Raw genomic sequence first — 19,303 nt, 5'->3', positions numbered from 1 at the left:
GAGAGAGATGTCTACTCTCTCTGTTTTCATTTCACTCTGTACTTCCACCATCACAATAGAGGTAAGTCTGAAAGTCTGAAAATGGAGAAAATATTTTGTTTTACAGATTGAAGATGTCCTTAATGACATCGTGCCTACCCACCAATGTTTCTAGACTTTGCAGACATTGTATAATTTACTTGTTGCTTATTCTATCTCAAATATAGCATCCATGAAAGAGGGACAGTGTCTACTGTGCTAATATATCCCAACTTCTAAGTTTAGTGACTGGCACAAGTAGACCATCAATAAATAATTGGGTAATTAATGAATTAATGAAAGGAATGAGTAGGGCCTAGGGAAGAACTTTCTCATGCTGGTGAGAACCTTTAGTGAATTTGTGGTACATGATAGTGGCATCATGAGAGTAGGGGCAGAGCAACCCCTAGGGTAGGGGCAACCCACGTAGTAGTGAAGGATAGGCACCTTCAACTGGCTTTGTGGGCAGCAGTGCAAGAGCAAAGTGAAATAAAAGGGAAGAAAAAACAGCTGATGTCATGAAGGGAGTGATAATACCTGTTTGGAGGTGGTATTGTTGACACCTCCTGGGGACAGCCAGGAATCCCCAAGGAAGCTTTACCAAGGAAGGGAACAAAAACTCTGCAATTATTGGTGGAGTAAACCTGAGAAGCACATTTACAGGTTAATGAGAAAACCAAGGCTCAAGAGATTTTAAAAGGCCTACCTACTATGTGGCAGAGGTAGGAAAGAGGAACTTAAAAAAATCATCTTCCCACATTCTGCTTCACCCTCAGTGTTCTCATCTCTACATTAGTTTTAAACCTAGAATGGCCACAAAAAACCTAATGGCAACACATTACCATAGTGCATGTTAGGTCTTTGAGATTCCCTGTTTATTGAATGTTGGCATGAAATCAGATCTTTCTATATTGTGTTTTCCTCTTTGAGTTACCATTCTTAAATGTTAGGCCAGATTCCGATAGTGAGGTATTCAGAAACTCAGGGATCTGTTTATAGAGATAATGGGGGGTGTTGTCACAACCTCTTAGGCAAAACTGGAAGGACAGCATAGAGAGAGGCCAAATAGCATAGTGCTTAGAAGCCAGACTGCTGACATTTGAAGCCTGGCTCTGTGACTTACTACCTTGTGGCCTTATACAAGTTATGTACCTGTCTGTGTCTCCATTTCCTCATCTGTGAGATGGGGATGGTGGCAGTGTCAGCCTCCTGGGGTTTTGTAAACATGTGAATTACTGCATTTAGGAAAGCACCCTGAACCTAGTAAGCATTCCACAATTAGCTATGTCATTACTATCATCATTTCCAGGGATTTTCAAAACATCAACAAGAACCACAGGTTGGTTATTTTTTAAGCCATTTAAAACTGCTTTAAAGACATTTCAGTGCAAAACCCACTATATCATACAAGAACAAAAAGACATAAAATAGCTTAGCTCCTAGGGAATGTCTTAATAAAGGACATGGAGGGTTTTTATATCCCAAGCTCTGGGTTATTAAGAAAAAATGTATCAGCATAATAACTAATATTTGCCGAGGGCATTACCTGTTACAAAGAACTTTCACATACCTAATCCAGCTTAATCCTCTCAATGCCTGCAACAGGAAGGATTCATTATCTGCCTTTGACAGGTGATGAGACAGAGCCTCGGAGAACCTGAGTGATTTGCCCAAGACCACACAGCTTGAAAGCAGCAGAGCTTAGTCCAAGAGCTGCAGCCTCTGTCCTCATGTCTCCCACAACAGCAGAGGCAGATCCAGCTTCATCCGTAGAGCAAATACCCACCTGCCTGCTTACATAGAAGGGGCAGAGAAAGGCCCTTGGTCTGACATCCCTGCAGTGGAGAAACTGAGCAGGTTTGGAAGGCTTTGCAATAGACAGACAGGTGTAACACCCAACGCCATTACTTCCTAGCTGTGTGCCTTGAATCAAGTCACTTTTCCTTTCTTGGCCTCAGTGTCCTCATCAGAAAATGAGGCTGTTAATCTTCAGGGCACAACTCTGAGGATTAACATTCTTGGGTGCTGAACAAAACAGTCTTGCCTAACTTCTGCCTCTTTTTACCCTGCCTAGCATCTGTCTCTTTGAGTAGGTGGATATATTTTACAAAAAGAAAAATGAAAAGAAATGGTGATTGCATTTGCAGTAGGGAATTCTCGGAGGATTGTCAAAGGGAGTCAAGTGGCTAGTCTGACATTCACCTCTGTGTAGCAGGCCGTGCCGGAGCCTGGGCACTCCCATTATCGCTATTGGCTGCATCCACCAGTTATCTCAAGTCTACACCTTGCAACCCCAGGTGTTCCTTCATCCATCATTGGCCATTGTTTGTATCCACTCCTCCTTCCCTCACCACCTCCTGCCAGATGACTCCTTGTTAATAAGCCAGTTTGCTCACATACTGAAAACTATCTGATTCTGGCCCCTTTTATCCCAAACACCGCCCATCCATCAAATGCTTGCTCCACATGCTTGCTTAGGAAAATGGGAATGGGGGAGGGAGACAAATCATAGATAAAACTTCTTAGCTGCTTATCTCTAAAGAAATAGAATGGATAAATAGATCTGTCAGACATGTATCATGCCACTGGTCAGCAGAGTCCATTTATTAAAAACAGGTTAGGAAGGGAGGATTTATCTCACATTTTAAGCTGTTAATATAGAAGGAAAACATATTTTCCTTTATCTCTCCCAGGGGAAATTCTAAGGCCATGAATGAGGAATTTTTAACTCGATTTGATGGACTTCCCTTCACTAAGGTGAAAAAGGTGGGCTGTCTCTTGAATTTGTGCAGCCTTCAGGAACGACGTGGGCTCGGCTGTCCTCTGACATACCAAGAAGGTTGCAGGACTCAGGAGTCCTGTGAAAGTGTCTTTCATTAGGTTCCCTCTCATGAGTTTCTGCAGGCTAGACACAAAAACCATTCTAGAGTCTTTACCTCCAGCACAGAGAAACCAGAGACAACAGCAGCCAACAAACTTTCTCTGGAAAATTCCTATGTACCAAGTATGATGCTAGGTGCTAGGGCTTCAACAGTAAATAGGATTCCCCACTTGCCCTGCAAGAAGTCACTGGGTGGGGTAGACACACAACTAGGCTACAGGGATGGAGCATGGAAAAATGCTAGAATACAGAGCTACGTGAGGGAGGAGGACCTGATGAAGTGTGGGGTAATGGAAGGGGTCAAGGTTGGTTTTCTGGATGAACGGACACCTAACCTATTCCCGGGAAAGTGCTGGTGAGTGGCTAGAAGATGAGAGCTGAGAAGTGGGAGTGGGGTAGTTCTTCTAGGAGCAGTATGTGCAAAAGCTGTAGGCAATAAAAGGCCTGACCTATTTGGGGAACTAAATTGGAAATAGTTCTTTTTTTTTAGAGAGTCTCCCTCTGTTGCCCAGGCTGGAGTGCAGTGGTGTGATCTAGGCTCACTGCAACCTCTGTCTCCTGGGTTCAAGTGATTCTCGTGCCTCAGCCTCCCGAGTAGCTGGGATTATAAGCGCCCGCCGCCACACGCAGCTAATTTTTGTATTTTTAGTAGAGACAGGGTTTCACCATGTTGGCCAGATTGGTCTTGAACTCCTGACCCCAAGTGATCCGCCCGCCTCAGACTCCCAAAGTGCTGGGATTATAGGCATGAGCCACCGCGCGTGGCAGAAATAGTTCTTTAATTCAATAAACATTTACTGCACCCCTACTAAGGCTAAATACTATTTGGTACTGGGGATCTAACCGTGAAAAGTCTTGCTTAATAATGGGGGGAGTCATACTGTCTTAGTTGTTTCAGGCTGCTATAGAAGAATACAATAGACTGGGTGGCTTAAACAACAGACATTTATTTCTCCCAGTTCTGGAGGCTGGCAAGTCCAAGAGCAAGGTGCCAGCCCATTCAGTGTCTGATGAGTCACTCTTTCTGGTTTGCAGACCACTATCTTCTTGTATCCTCACATAGCAGATTGCAGAGAGAAGCAAGCTCTCTGGTGTCTCTCCTTATAAGGGCACTAATCCCATCAAGAGGACTCCATCTTCATGACCTAAGCACTCCCAGAGGCCCCACTTCCTAATACCATCCCATTAGGGATTAGGATTTCAACATAGGAATTTGGGGGTACACAAACATGCAGTCCATAACATATGAGAAGAAAAAAAGAACAAATAAACAAATCTATAATGTCAGGTAACGGTAATTCTGTATGAGAAAAATCAATGAAAAGGGTGAGCCTCTTTACATAGGGTGCACAGAGAATGTCTTTGCAGAGGTGACGCTTGAGCAAAGACTTGAATGAAATGAGGAAGTGAGCTGTGGATGAGCTCATTTAGATGGTGAACATCTCAGGCAGAGAGGACAGCAGGTGCAAAGGTCCTGAGGAGGGGAGGGCCTGGTGTGCATGAGGAATGGCAAAAGGGCCTGCATGGCTGGAGGAGCATGATTGAGGGAAGAACTGAAGGGAAGGACATGAAAGGGAGCCAAGGGCTCGTCACACAGAGCTTTGTTCCTCATGTCAGGGACAATAGATTTCTCGCACAATTGGCTCATAAAGTCTGAACAGAGATAAAGGTGGAGGGGTACATCAGCCTCAGAGATGTGCTTTATGAATCCAGTTTCAAATCCATGGCCTTTATAACAACAGCTGTGGGCTTGCTGAAAGCCCAAGAGTACCCCAGGGTAATCAGAAAAGGGGCTGTCTGTGGGAATCTCCCTGGGACCAAGAACTGGCTCCCCTCAGGAAAGGCCCAGTGACCAAACTGGAATTCCAAACTCAGTCATCTCCAGCCTGACAAATTCCAGCACCATTACCCAAAGAGCTGAGCAAAAATTGCCCCACACTCTATCTCCTGGTTTTCCAGCTCTGTTACTTTGCACATTTCCCCTGCACAATCGTGCCCCTCCTTCTGCTTTCTTTGATGCTCCAACTCTCATTGTGTCTGAGATTCTGCTGGCCATGTCCTGGCTGCCTGCCCTGCTCCCACAGCTGGTTATCCCCCACAGGTCCCTGGGCTTCCTGCTGCCTGGGACCTATTGCCATTGTTCACAGCTCTCCTTTACCAGGCTGCATTCTTCCAGGGATGGGACCATGTCTGATCCATTTCTGAACCTCCAGCACCCAGCATGGGGCCTGCACAAGAGATCTCCAGAGAGTATTTTGCCCATTTCTGATGTGAAGGAGTATCACCATAAATTTTCTTCATGCCTTTCCTCTAATCCGTATCACATCCCCTTCCTCTCATGGCACTCAGTGGCTTCACTTTGCCATCTCTCATTTCTGCAATGTGGCTTTTGAAGCCTACCCTTTCTCTCTGTCCATTTTCTTCACCCTAAAGGCATATAGTTCAGAAGAGATTCATTGAGTGCTGAACTCTTTAGATCTTCCTTTCTCACAAAGAAAAAAAAAAAGAAAAAAGCCTCTCCTTATTGCTTTTTATTCTGTCATTAATTTACTTTTCAAAAGACACCTTGTCAAGCTGAAGATTATATCTTTAAACCATGTATTTACACCCACTACCTATAAAACCTTAGATTATAGATCTTCTTAAAAGACCTAAGGGAAAATGCATTGGATGAGTTTTATGCTTTTTGCTTTGTGAGAGCCAGTCATTCTTGAAGAGGGAAAGCTGCTGATGTAATAAAGGGTTGCTATGCTTGAAACTGCCACTGTATTTTAATTTGTAAAGCTTTTGGGGATGTAGCATCCTCAGAGGAGTGGGACAGATGCTGGCTTGGGTTCTCTGGCTCAGAAGACAGGAAGACAGCATTGCTCAGCTGGTGGTTTTGGCTCACAGATGATCCAGGCAATTACTTAATCTCAAAGTTCTCATCTTTTGCCCAGATTACTACACTTACCTCCTGATGAGCCTCCCTGCCTCTGGTTTCCTCCCCTCCCTTGTGCCCCACACACTATTCTCCAAATCCCTCCACCAGCAGACAAGAGCAAAGGGTGGGTGGAGGAAATGGAAGCGTGTGTTTGATGTGACGCATTCAAACCCTGGCCTGCTCTGTGACCCATGAGGCTCAACCTTGCTGAGATTCAGTTTCTTGGCTGCACAATAGGACATAGAAAACAAACCTTAAGAGATCTTGCATAAGACTAGTTAAAATAGCACAAATAACTTTACTGTCCCTGCCTTTTTGTTTTGTCACAGACCCCATTCCCCATGCAGGTATAATGATTCCTCCACTCTCAGGAGCCTCAACCTTGGCTGCACTTGGAATCACCTGAGGAACTTTTAAAACTAAGGATGTCAGGCCGGGCGCAGTGGCTCAAGTCTGTAATCCCAGCACTTTGGGAGGCCGAGGTGGGTGGATCACCTGAGGTCAGGAGTTCGAGACTAGCCTGACCAATATGGCGAAACCTCATCTCTACTAAAAATACAAAAATTAGCTGGGCATGGTGGCGTGCACCTATAGTCCCAGCTACTGAGGAGGCTGAGTCAGGAGAATCACTTGAACCCCAAAGGCAGAGGTTGCAGTGAGCCAAGATTGTGTCATTGCACTCCAGCCTGGAGACTCTGTCTCAAAACAAACAGACAAACAAAAAAACCCCAAAAAACTATGGATGTCTGGTCCCTACACCCAGTGATTAAGATTTAATTTGTTTCGGGTGCAGTCTGTAGACATCAGGGTTTTGAAAACTGCTCAGGTGATTGTAACATACAACCAAGTTTAAGAACCACTGTTTTTTTAGGTCAAGATCAAACGTTCTCTTTAAAGTGCCCACGTGGCCTGGCATATTTGGCCCTTGGTCACTTTCTAGCATGTAACTGCCACTACTCAGTAAATAATGAATGTAGGTTAATTATTAATGTAAGTTAAAAAGTAAAAAGCAAATTAATGACAGGATGAAAAGCAATAGGAGAGTTTTTTTTCTTCTTTCAGGTAGAAGATCTAAAGAGTTCAGAAATTAACTTCTAAATCACATTCTTTAATTAATAATAGTCTTAATAATGATGACGATAAGCATGAGGGTAATAATGTCCTGTATGACAGGCATAGTGCCAAGTGTTTTATATGCCTTATTTTATTTACATGCATTATTTTCCTCACTCCCCTTTCCTGACACATACGCACCTGCATGCACCCCCAAATGTCTTTCTCACTTTCAGACTTTGTCTCATGCCGAATTTCTGTCTGAGAGATCTCCTCCCAGTTTGCCTAGTTGAAAAGTCCTTCAGGGCCTGGGGCAATCCCCATGCCATCCACAATATACACAGTAATGGAAAGGTAAATCTCTCTCCCACCTGGCCTCCTTCAGCACTTACTTTGTGTGCTACATATTTTAGCATTAACTCAACAATTAATTTCCCTAAAACCTCCTCTAGTTGTTTCAGGTACATAATTCTTATTCTGACTTTAACAAGATTGAGGACTCTGGAATGACTTGAAGCATCAATATATATGTTAGTCACCAGACATTTCTTGAGTACCTACTATACACTAGGATTGTAGATTTGGCCTTCAAGGAGCTCAAAATCTAATAGGGGAAACTGATGGATAAACAGAAAATTCAGTGCTACCTAACATGTTCTCTATTTGAGGCATGACTGGAGGGCTGTGGGATTCTGAGGCTGGCTGGTGTGATTGGCCTCCCCTAGAGATGGGTCAGAGAAGGCGGATTGATCGTCACTAGTTGGCCTCTTCAAATCCACTCTCCACTCTGGGAGGCTGACCAATGTGTACCTCATCTATGAACTGACTCTTCAATTCATTCACTTATTTAATCACAGCTACTTACTAAGTCCCTGCTACATTTAAGGCACAAGCCTGACCTCCGGGGCTACAGTGCTAAACAAAAGAAGCCTGACTTCTGCCCTCAAGATTATTATCTCTTAGGAAGAGATAGGTCTTACATAGTCACAGGAGATGTGGGATTAAATATATATGCTATGATCTGAACATTTGTGTCCCTTCAAAATTCATATGTTGAAATTCTAACCCCAAAGTGATGGCATGAGGAGGTGGGAAATTTGGGAAGTGACTAGGTCACGAGAATGGAGCCCTAATGAATGGGATTAGTGCCCTTAAAGAAGGGACCTAAGAGACTGCCTAGCCCCTTCTGCCATGTAAGGACACAGCAGTAAGACAGTCCTGTAAAAACTAAGAAGTGGGCCCTCACCAGACACTGAATCTGCCTTGATATTGGACTTCCCAGCCTCCAGAACTGTGAGAAATAAATTTCTGTTGTTGATAAGCCACCTAGTTTATGGCTTTTTGTTATAGCAGCCCAAATAGACTAAGATAATATAATTACTAGTTGTGAAAATTGCAATGTAGGAAAAGAAGTGTTCCATGAGAAAATAATCAGGAGAAATGTCACATTTGTGGTAAGAACTTAAGGGAACTAGAGAGATTAATTGAATTAATAAACGAGTTCAAATGAAGGCAAATTGAAATAACTCAAGTCAATTTTTAGTATTTTTCTCATTGTTTCAGAGTGTCTGCTTACCCTACCAATTAATAATGTTTCTATGAGTGAACAAATTGTTATCAAAGAACTAAGAGAATTTTCATCCTACTTTGTTTTATTGGGCGTTGATTGTTTCAGGTGTCTGCTTGTTTTGTCTCTAACATCCTGTAAGTTCTCCCTGGTCATGGATTGAGTTTTCTCAGTTTTCTATTTTACTTTATTTTTTTGATGATCCAAAGTGCTGTAAGTAGGACAGAGCTTCTAGTTAACAGTCAACATCCAGTTGCTGAATAAAATGATTGAGTTTTGTAACTAATAGAATAGTTGGCTGTAGACAGCAAAACCTAGTCTTAGGCCTGGAAGCTGGCAGAACAAAGAAAAAAGTGTGCTGATTTGCATCTTCTCTTAGTTGAAAGAAGTCTTTATCCAATAGTCAGTGCAGGGGTCGACATCCACAGCATCTGGTCCAGCCTGTGTCCAGAGGCCCTCAGCAAGCCTGCGTCTGTACTTTCCGCCCTGGACACGAGGCCCCTCCATTCTGAGGTGCTGGATTGTCACACTCTCTTCTCCTTTCCTGGATGCCTGCTCTGCATACAGACCAGGAGCTCCAGCAACTCCAGCTCCCATCTGCTTTGGCTCCTGCAGAGGAAATTTCCCAGGGAGGAGAAGGTTAGCATATGGCTAAGAAGGAAGGGCCTGTCTGGTGATGAACAGGGAGGGGTGTGTGGCACCCTTGGGAGAGGAACTGGCCTCCCCTCCTCTGGTCGACTGCAGCTTGTTGGAGGTACGTACAGATAAGGTACATAGGGTCTTTGCTCCTTTGTTAGTCCAGATGTAGCAAGGGCAGTTTCACTGCAGAGACCATGGCAGTCAGGCTATTAATTGCCCCTGGGGGCTCTGTCCAGGGAGTTGCAGAGCTGCTACTGAGGAGGGAAGGCCATCCTGTTGCCTGAGAGTGGTCTGCAATCCTCCTTGGGGAAATGCCTTCAGGTAGCCAGCCAAGACCTCTGTGCTCACTGCCTTGCACTTAATTTGAAACTCTGGATGGAGTGAGAAGAGGCCACTGGGAGCCCATCTCATTAAATTGGAATCCGCAGTTCCATGGAAGATGGATAGCGGAGGGAGGCAGGAGGTGTGCTCCCTTGGAAGAATGACACAGAGTCAATGGAGGGTGTGAAGAGAGGGGAGCACCGCCCTCCTGGGGAGTCAGAGAAAAGGTTTGGCCAGACACCTCCCTGGAGAGGATTGCTAAGCTTTTGTATGAGGATCTGCAAATCAAACCCCCTCAGATTCTGGCAATGGAGCCGCAGAGGGTGACAGGCTGTCTGCACAGAGCATCTGAACACATGCACTGACCATGGACTATCTGGAAATCTAGCTCAGAGAATTACCTAGCCTGGGGCTCCGCCTGAGTTTTGGATGCTATCATATGAGAAGGATGGACTAATCCAGTGGTTTTTTTCAATGTTTATTTTTTTCATCACAATTTCATTTTTCCTAAATGAAATCTTACATAGACCCCCAACCTCTAAGTCAGATGAAAGTGGAGCTGCTCTATTTGAAGCTGGATGTCTGTCAGGCTCGCCCTCCTCTGCTGGGGCAGCTCTGAGACCCCAGGGCTCCTCAGATCACAGTGTGACTATCATTGGATTAGATTATCTCCAAGTTCCTTCCAGCTCTGTAATTATACTCCCTGATGGGGCAGCCACAGCAAGGCTCTCTGTCTCTTTCTCCCACCTCTGTGCCTCAGTCTCCATAGGCAAAGGTTTACTGGGAAAATTCCCAGGGACTGTAATGGGCCTCCATGGAATTTGACTGCCCTGCCTCAGACTTCCTTGCCAGCCCAGTCTCCATCAGGCTGAAAGTTCAGTATGACAGCCCCAAGGCCACCTGATGTCCACACCTTGCTTTGAACCAGGTTGATGGAGCGCCATGAGCTGCCTGCAATGAACTAACTGCACTGCCTGCAACTGAATGCAGGAGGAATGGGACCTTGGGAGCAGCCCTCTGTCTCCTCCCTCCCTGCAGATCATTACGTAATGCCCACACCTTCTCTGATACCCACCACGTGTGCAGGTGTCTCAGCCTGCCTGCCACTGAGCCTGGCACTGGACCATGGAGAGGCACGTCTGGGTAGCCCACACTCCCCCTTCTTCCTGTCTCTATGCTGTGTGGACAGGGATCCTAGCAAGTCACTGGTTCTGAGGGCCCTTGGAGTGCTATAATTAAATTACTCTGGCAAGGCTCACATCTGTTCCTTTAAGCCAGGCCAGATTGATAACCATGAACTGGTACATACCCCACTTTCCACTCCCCAAAATGATACTTACTGAAGTTGTCTCAGACCCTCTGCTCTCATTCCCCAAATTTCCTCACTCTTAGGATGTGACTCAGTAGGGTGTAATGTTTAAGAGATTGGGTCCCGGGTCCAAATCCTGTCTCTTTCATTCCCCAGCTAGGTGACCTTGAGCAAATTATCCAACCTTCCTTCTGCCCTGTTTTCCTCATCTGTAAATTGGGACTCATAATAGCATTTATGTCATAAGGTTCTTGGGAAAATAAATGAGTTCATACACATGCAGCTCTAACGGCTGTTACTAATAAGGCTTAGTTATTTTTTCTGTTCATTGATCTTTGGTCCCCTTGGGAATGCTGCCTGGCCAATGGGAAAATGGCGGCTACAACCCAGTCCATACCCTGCTTGGGAAGTCAGGAAAGCCCTGGGCCCTTGAGCTCGGCTGTATCAATCCAGAGTAGTTTTATTTTTCTCTCCCAATTCACCCATCTACCAAGCAGTGCCTTTTTTCCAGTTCACACAAGGAAGCTGGAATCTGCAGTTCCATGGAAGATGGAACTGGCCCTGGGAGTTGGTCTCCTTGGTTTGTATTCTCTGCATGCTCCTTCATAAGGTCATTGGCTTTCACTCACCCTCTTGGCTTACCTCTTTCAGCATACCTCCCACAGGACACAGGCAGCTCACTGGAACCCAGATTCTATCCCCTTTTGCCAGCAAAGGAGGAATTTGAACAAGTAACAACCCAGAACAATTCTCTACCAATGAAACATCCCACATGAAGCTGTCTCTTCTTTTGCTTATTAAAATACAGCCTACCACAAGTGTTAACTAGTTTAATCCTCAACACAACCTTTAAGGAAGGTTCCAATATAATCTCATTTTACAGGGTATGCCCAGATGGAAATTGGCAGCTTAGAAATTAAAGACCTGGGCTGAATGTGGTGGCTCATGCCTGTAATCCCAGGACCTTGGGAGGCTGAGGCGGGCAGATCACTTGAGACTAGGAGTTCGAGACCAGCCTGACCAACATGGCGAAAACCCATCTCCAGTAAAAATACAAAAATTAGCCAGGCATGGTGGTGCATGCCTGTAGTCCCAGCTACTCAGGGTGGGGGCAGGGCGGGCTGAGGTGGGAGAATCGCTTGAACCCGGGAGGAGGAGGTTGCAATGAGCTGAGATCACGCCATTCCACTCCAGCCTGGGTGACAGAGTAAGACTTCATCTCAAAAGAAAAACAAAAACAAAAAACTAAAGATCGGTTTGGTACCTGAGCTATGCTATCCTGCCTCCTACTTAGAACTACTCTCCCAATGAGGAAATAATAACTCAACATCATCTGATCTTAAAACCAGGTCTACTGCATGAAGATCCCCTTGAATCCTAAAGAAATTGGTATTTGTAGTTTGAAGCTTAAAATATTTAAATTCAATTTTGCATTTAAAGATTTTAAGCTTCAAACTACCAACTGCTCACCATGTTGCTATCCCTTGTTTAGGTCAGAGACTCAGAGATTCTGGGGGTAGGAAGGACCTTGAGGCTGTCTTGCCCGACCATCCCTTGGAAGAATGAATCTCTTCCAACTCCCTGAAAAGTGGTCATCTATCCCCCTCCCTCATTCTTGCTGCAGTACATGCAGAAGAAAGTCCTCCCTCATTAAGCCCTAATCCCTTTGCTATAGCTTCTCTCCTTTAGTCCTACAACCTAATCTCAGTGGCCATAGAATACAAGTTCCATGTCCTCCCACATGGCAGTTTATGTGGGACTTGTCCTTTCTGAGTCTTTCTTCTTCATGCCTAAAATTCCCAATCTTTCCAGATCTTCTTAATACATAGGTTTGAGCCTTCCCACTTCTCTGGATTGCCTGCTTTGCTTTGTCAGTATCCGGTGAGGTGTGGCACCAAGAACAAAAATCTTGGTACGCCAGAGAAGAATCTTATCCTGAGCTCTTGACTTTTGTTAACCCGTCTTTCACTGTGGGGCCGTCTGTATCAGGCTCCCACTGAGTGAACTGGGACTAATGGTTGGCCTGTTTCTTTCACATGGCCATTGAGCCACATGGCTTCAGCCCCCTCCACCCTGTGCTTCAACCCTTTGTTTTCTGGAGTCAATTGTAATACCTTGGATTTCCCATCCAGACTTCTTTGTTTTTCCCTTTGTGTTTTCTTCATTGCAATAGCCAATTTAGGTTAATGTGTACATTGATTAGGTAGTCCATACATTTTGCCATCATTTTATGTACCATACAAACAGTTTTATGTGCCTGAAAAAGTGGGAGCTTAGGAATTGGAACATGCATACTCTTGGGGCTAAAAGGGAACATAGATGAGAAAGCTAAGCCCCAGAAAGATGTGAACAATTAGTGTCTCACAGTGACTTAGTAAAGTATCTGGGATTCACATCCAAGTCCCCAGACTTCTTCATTTTTAAGCAATGGACTTTTAATGCTTGTTTGATAACTTTCTTCCCTGGTACCAGTTGGTTCATGTTGCAGTTATCTGCATTTAAACCTTCCTTGCCCAAACCTTGTTTTTAGTCATAACTTCTTACACTATAATGACAACTACCTATCTCTTTTAGTGAGTTTAATTGTGTTTCCTCAAAAGATATGTTCAAGGCAAACCCTTGTTACCTGTGAACATGACCTTATTTGGAAATAGGATCTTTGCAGATGAAATCACATTAAAATGAGGTCATGCTGGATTAGGGTGGTCTCAAACCCAGTGACTGGTGGTTCTTATAAGAAGAGAAACAGAGTTATAGAGGGAAGAATGCCACACGAAGACAGAGGCAGAGACTGGAGCGATGCATCTATAAGCCGAGAAATGCCAAGGATTGCTGACAACTACCAAAAGATAGGAGAGGGACTTGAACCACATACTCCCCCAGTCTCTGGCAGGAACCAACCTAGCCAACACACCTGACTTTGGACTTCTAGCTTCCAGAGGTCTGAAACAATACACTTCTGTTGTTATAAGCCACCTAATTTGTGATGATTTGTTATGGTAGCCCTAGGAAACTAGTTTATTCCTCCAGAAATGAATCCTGTTGTCCATATACATCTTGGCGAAAAACAGTTCTCATCTGAGAAAAGGTCTTGATGGCAAGGACAAAGCACAAGAACCACTAAATGTGATGGGTGAGTAACAGAACTCTCAAGGGTGGCTCCTAGGTATTGGCTAGGAGAGCTCCAAAAGGAGGGGCCGGGAACCCCAAAAGTCCTTTTTGCACTGGCCCCTTTGAGCTGGGACAGGCTGGAACTGGGTGGGGATGCACGGACCTTACCTTCTGTCTGTGTTTGCTCACAGGCAGCACCCAAGCTACCCAGGCGGCACTGGCACCTGCAGCTGGTGCCCTCGAGGATGGGCACCCCATTGTTGAAGCAAGGCCCACATCGGCAGGCATTGAATTCCATCAGATACTGGTCCAAGGCGCGGCGCAGGTTCTGGCGCTTGGCCTCCAGAGGCCCCAGGCTTGTGTGCCGCAGCACCTCGTGGATAGGCTGCATCTGTGGGCACAGAAAGAACACAGGGCCCCTCCCTGGGCTCTATCTACCTTCCCAGAGCCCAAGAACCGGCCACCAAGCTTCTGGAAGGCCTGATACATGCCAGGCACAGACACAGACACCCAATTTATCCCACCACCTTGGATCCTCACAGCCATTCTGTGACATAGGTATTAAACTCCTCAGCTCCTAGCAGAAGAAAGGGAGGCTCAGTGTTTAAGTGACTGGCTCAGAAGCACACAATTATTAAGAAATAATAATGAAGATCGGGTTTAGAGAGGGGCAGTTAAAAGTCCCAGCCCACACAGCTAGGACGTGAGGCACATTTACTTAGCTTTTACCATATGACAGGCCTTTCCCCTATATCATCTCCCTTAATCCTCACAGTGATCCTGGAGCAATGTGTGCATTCCTCACAAGAATCACCTACTTAACTCTGAAACCTGTGCACTCCCAATCCCAAGTGGGCTTAGAAGTTATTTGTGCCAACTCATCTGCCCTCTCCACCACATTTAGGAAGCAGGAAAAGTGTGTGTTTTAAATGTCAGCCTTCAATGCAGGAATTAATAAAATCCTTGACAGGTAGTGTTGTTGTCATTGCTGAGCAATTTCCCTAATGGTGTAACTGTGGCAGCTACATGTGGCTGGGTGGGAGTTATTTACAACTGATGCAACCCATTCCAGACATGACCGTAGTTCAGGGTTTTTCAACTTCGGCACTATTGCGTATCAAGTTGGATAATTCTTTACTGGCAGGAGTGGGCTGTCCTTGTATTGTAGGCTGTTTAGCAGAGTCTCTGGCCTCTACCCACTACATGCCAGCAGCCCCCTTCCAGTTGTGAAAACCAAGACTGTCTCCTGACATTGCCAAATATTCCTTGGGGGAAACAATTGCCTCGACTGAGAAGTAGTAGATGAAGCACAAGGAGGATTGAATCTGGAGCCGGAAAACCTGGCTTCAAACCCCAGCTACCCTGCTTCCGACTGTGTGATCTTTGGCACATGACACACGGAGCCTCCTTCCTCATCTGTAAAGGGAGAACAGTCATCACACCCTCCAGGATTATTGTGAGGATTAAGGGAGATGATATAGGGGAAAGACCTGTCACATGGTAAAACTAAGTAAATGTGACTCACTTTCTAGCTATGTGGCCTAACTGCCCCTGTCTAAGTCTGATCCTCATTATCTAGAAAATGGGAATAATACTTAATTCCCAGATTTCTTATGAGGATCTAAAGAAGTACTGAATGTGAGATACTACTGTACAAGGGAAGAATGACAAAAAATAAAGCACCATTTTTGTTAGTTGTATGTGATAATAGTAAAAAAAAAAAAAAAACCCATGTTTTTCAAATTGCATGCATATGTGGTTATCTTCAGCATGCTTATAATGTTATACATGTTAATACTTCATAAAAGGAAGGCACTTCTCCAGATCTCTCATTTTAAGGAGAGGAACCTGAGGCCCCCAAAGGGGAAGTGATTTGCCAAGGTCACAGAGCAAGTCAGCAGTAGGACTGTGCCAGAGCAAGTCAGCAGTAGGACTGAGCCACATTACGGTAGTCGCACTTCCCTGGAAACAGAAGTCAACTGAGGGCACTGGCAATAGCTTTGTCTGAGTTCCTGGAAATGTGTACAGAAAGACCTGTGGCAAACAGACTTTGGCCTGTGGTCAGGGGTTGCGGTTGAGGTCAGCAGGCAGGTAATATCAGGACTGGTAGGGTCCCCAGCCAAGGGGAGAAAACCACTTACTGGAAGTTCAGAGAATTCAGTCCCATTGTTAGGAAGTCAGCGTAGAATAGGCTGCCCTGTTGGCCTTCTCAAAGATGACTGTTAGTTCCAGGGAAAGCCAGGACCATTGAGCAATTTCTCTTTGACTTTCCAGTGGGGCTCTGCATCCAGTTCCCCACCTCAGATCTCTCCCTCCCAGGAACCACAGGAAGAGGGGAAGCCCTCCATAGGGTGGACTGGTGGAGTTAAAAGAGGAGAGAGAGGTGGAGAAGAGGGATCTTGGGACGTTAGAGCTTGAAAAGGTATTGGCAGTGATCTTGTTCCCGTTTTGCAGATGAGAAAAAAGACTCAGAGGTCAAATGATACAATATAGCAACACAAGATAATGCATAATAATATATCACACAACACAACATAACAAAATAACATAACACAAACGTAACATAGCAGGACTCCTACATTCACAAACTCTAAGCACTTGCTATAAATAAGCACTGCTGAACTCTGGGGTATATGCAAGTGAATAACATGCTGTTTCCACTCTGAACATCAGGCTCCAAATAACCCCTACCTGGTCCCCTTGTCTGTAATCTCTCTCTTCTTCAAATCACCCTTTATTTCCCTGTGAGCATTCTCTTTTTAAAACACAGTGCTAGCTGTGTTACTTCCCTGCTATAAAGCCTGCCCGTGGCTTAATGCATTGAGTCCGAACTTCTCAGGGGGCAACATGAGTTGTGAAGAGACTGAGGATGTTAGTGTCAGTCAAACATGACTCGAGTTGGACTCTATCATTTGCCAATTTCGAGATATTGTGCTGAACCTGTTTCTTCAACTGACATTTACCAAGTAACTTCTGATCTCCTGAGTCTTGTGAAATATCTCTATGTGATAGAGCAGGAAACTGAGGCTCAGTGAGGGAAGTAACTTGTCAAAGGTCACACATTGAAAAAGCAGCTGAGCTATGACCTAAATTATGTCTTTCTCCTCCCTCTCACCCAATCCTGCCAAAGCCTGGGCTCTTTCCCAAAAGACTGTAGTGGTCTTCTCCAAATGATGACCCTGAGTCTTCCCAGGGAAGTTTTTCTCAAGGCAAACACCAAGTTCACCTCTTGCCTATGAAAGTTTATGTATTACTCCTGATATCAATTTTACAGTTTTTGCTCAAATCACTAATAGCTTGATGATATCAATTTTCAAACCTTATGTGAATTACAGTTGCATGAAAATGGTCTCTTACTTATTGAAGAAGAAATAAAATCAAGGTTGATCCATCTGACCTGTTTCTTCACAGAAACCAGGGTGTTAGAATAGACTTCTAGGTTTAACTGTAGGCATATGTTTTAAGAGGAGGACTATATCCATATCTGGGATTTTAAATATATGTAGAAAAATAGGCAAGGGTGGGGAGAAAATGGATGAGAAAATGATGATCTTTTGCTTCAAAGTCTGAAATGCAGTCTCTTAAATGGACTACACCACATATGGACAGAAATAGTTTGGCAACTGCTAGAACAATCACTTCCTTTGTGGTTAAAATAGAATTTTTCACACTTTGTGAGGTTAAGCATTTAAGGCAGGGTTTCTCAATTTTGGCAGTATTGACACTTGAGGCCAGATATTTCTTTGCTGTGGGGTCTGTTCTGTGCATGGAAGGATGTTTAGCAGCATCCCAGGCCTCTGCCTCCTGGATGCCAGTAACACCTCCTTGCCCCACTGTGGGTGGTGACAAAAATATCAAAAACATCTCCAGACATTTCCATATTTCCTCTGTGGAGGAAAACTGCCCCTAGTAGCTGAGAGCCACTGCTTTAATGGAGGTGCTAGGATAGAGAGAAGTGAGAACTGGATACGAAGTCCAAAGGTCTGAAATCCAAGCATTGCCACCTCTGAGCTATATGACCTCAAATATTTTCACTTGATTTTTCAGAGCCTGTTTCCTAATCTTTTTAATGGGAGGGAATAGTATCTATGACAGAGGTTCCTCTAATGGAGAGATGAGATAACTGTGGAGGATGGTAGCAAATTGCAGCCTGGGTCCAAGTCCAACCCACAGCTTATTTTTGTATGGCCTTTGAGCCAGGAATGACTTTTATATTTTTAAAGAGATTTGATGAAGAAGAGAAAGAAGAAGAACTAATACTACTACTTTGTGTATTATAGATTGTATGTGTCCCACAAAGCCTGAAATATTTACTATCTGACCTTTTACAGAAAAAGTTTGCCACCCCCTAATTTAGCCCATGTGATTTTTGAAGTGTTTTATGTATAAATAAAAATCATGATTTGCCTAATGTGACCTAATGCTGAGGAACTTCTGGGATGAGCAGTGTAAAACTAGGCACTGACTAGATCATCAGTTTCTGATCCCAGCTGTCCCGTGGCCTGGGTCTGAAGTCATGCACTCCCTGGAGTCAGGCACAAGCAAGGCCACTAGTTCAGTGTGCCATTACATTTAATCTTGTTCTTTGATGGGCTCATAATAAGAAATATGAAATGATCTGGTCTGCTTCACTTTCATTCCTCATGGACGTAGAGTTTCTTCAACTGCGAAAAGACTTACCTCAAAATCGATAACAACAGGATTATACTTTAATGACCTCCCCCAGGAACGGTATGTAATGGTGCTCCTGTTCTGTGCCAAGCCACCGCTCCAGCCAGAACTGCCACCTCGCACCCGAGAAATAATGTCTTCCACAGCCATGGCCTTCCTGGCCCTTTCTGCCATCAAGAGGATAAACTGCATTAACTCATTTCCCAAAAAGCCCAAGGACTGGTTGACAAACCCCACTAATGAGATTTGGAAGAAAGTTTACATGTTTTCCTTAGATGTTTACCATTCTTCTTCTCTTCTTGGTTAGCTAGCAGGACAAGGCAGAAGGGAAGGACCAAGACTCAGAAATAGACCCATCCTCTGGAGTGGAGAAATACTGAGAGGACAGCCCAGACCACATGGAGGATAAGGGGAACAGGAAATGGGTGGTCATTCATTTATTCATTCATTCACTCATTCATTCTTACATCAAATATTTACTCAGTGCCTGCTATATGCCGAATAGGTTCAATCAAATATTATAGGTGCTATAGGTACAACAGATGTTACTATAGGACTCAATGTGGGCACAGTGAAAGAAACTAGTTAGCTATACAGTAGGGGGTGTGGGAGGCAGTCAGAAAGAAAGGTGAGTTGTCTACAAAGGTTAGTGAATATTTGCCAGGTAAATGAAGAGAGGATAGAAAGAGAGAAGAAACAATTTGACTTAAGGCCCTGAGGTACAGGTAACCTAATGCAATAGGAATAGCTTGAACCTGATTAATATCTATTCCACCCACTGCATTATAAACTTCTTCATCATCCCTGTAT

At 44.5% G+C, this 19,303-nt stretch overlaps 1 protein-coding gene across 1 annotated transcript in view, besides 1 other annotated feature; it reads right to left on the bottom strand.

Moving 5' to 3' along the window:
* Nucleotides 1,646-1,940: a silencer, noted in NCBI's record as "tiled region #9770; K562 Repressive non-DNase unmatched - State 24:Quies". NCBI's record gives its function as "represses a minimal TATA promoter and a strong SV40 promoter by Sharpr-MPRA in K562 cells {active_cell/tissue: K562}" and the evidence as "EXISTENCE:reporter gene assay evidence [ECO:0000049][PMID:27701403]".
* C8A (complement C8 alpha chain) overlaps nucleotides 8,393-19,303 on the bottom strand; it is a 63,427-nt gene continuing 52,516 nt past the window's right edge. Inside the window, exons 9-11 of the mRNA NM_000562.3 lie at nucleotides 18,503-18,660; nucleotides 13,991-14,213; nucleotides 8,393-9,051 (exon numbers count right to left, since the gene is read on the bottom strand). Coding sequence (NP_000553.1) covers nucleotides 8,900-9,051; nucleotides 13,991-14,213; nucleotides 18,503-18,660 — 533 coding nt within the window. The 3' untranslated portion in view covers nucleotides 8,393-8,899. The remainder of the gene's footprint in view (nucleotides 9,052-13,990; nucleotides 14,214-18,502; nucleotides 18,661-19,303) is intronic.

This window comes from Homo sapiens, chromosome 1 (assembly GCF_000001405.40).
Source record: "Homo sapiens chromosome 1, GRCh38.p14 Primary Assembly".
Taxonomy (NCBI): domain Eukaryota; kingdom Metazoa; phylum Chordata; class Mammalia; order Primates; family Hominidae; genus Homo; species Homo sapiens.
This window is presented reverse-complemented; position numbering and strand designations above follow the sequence as displayed.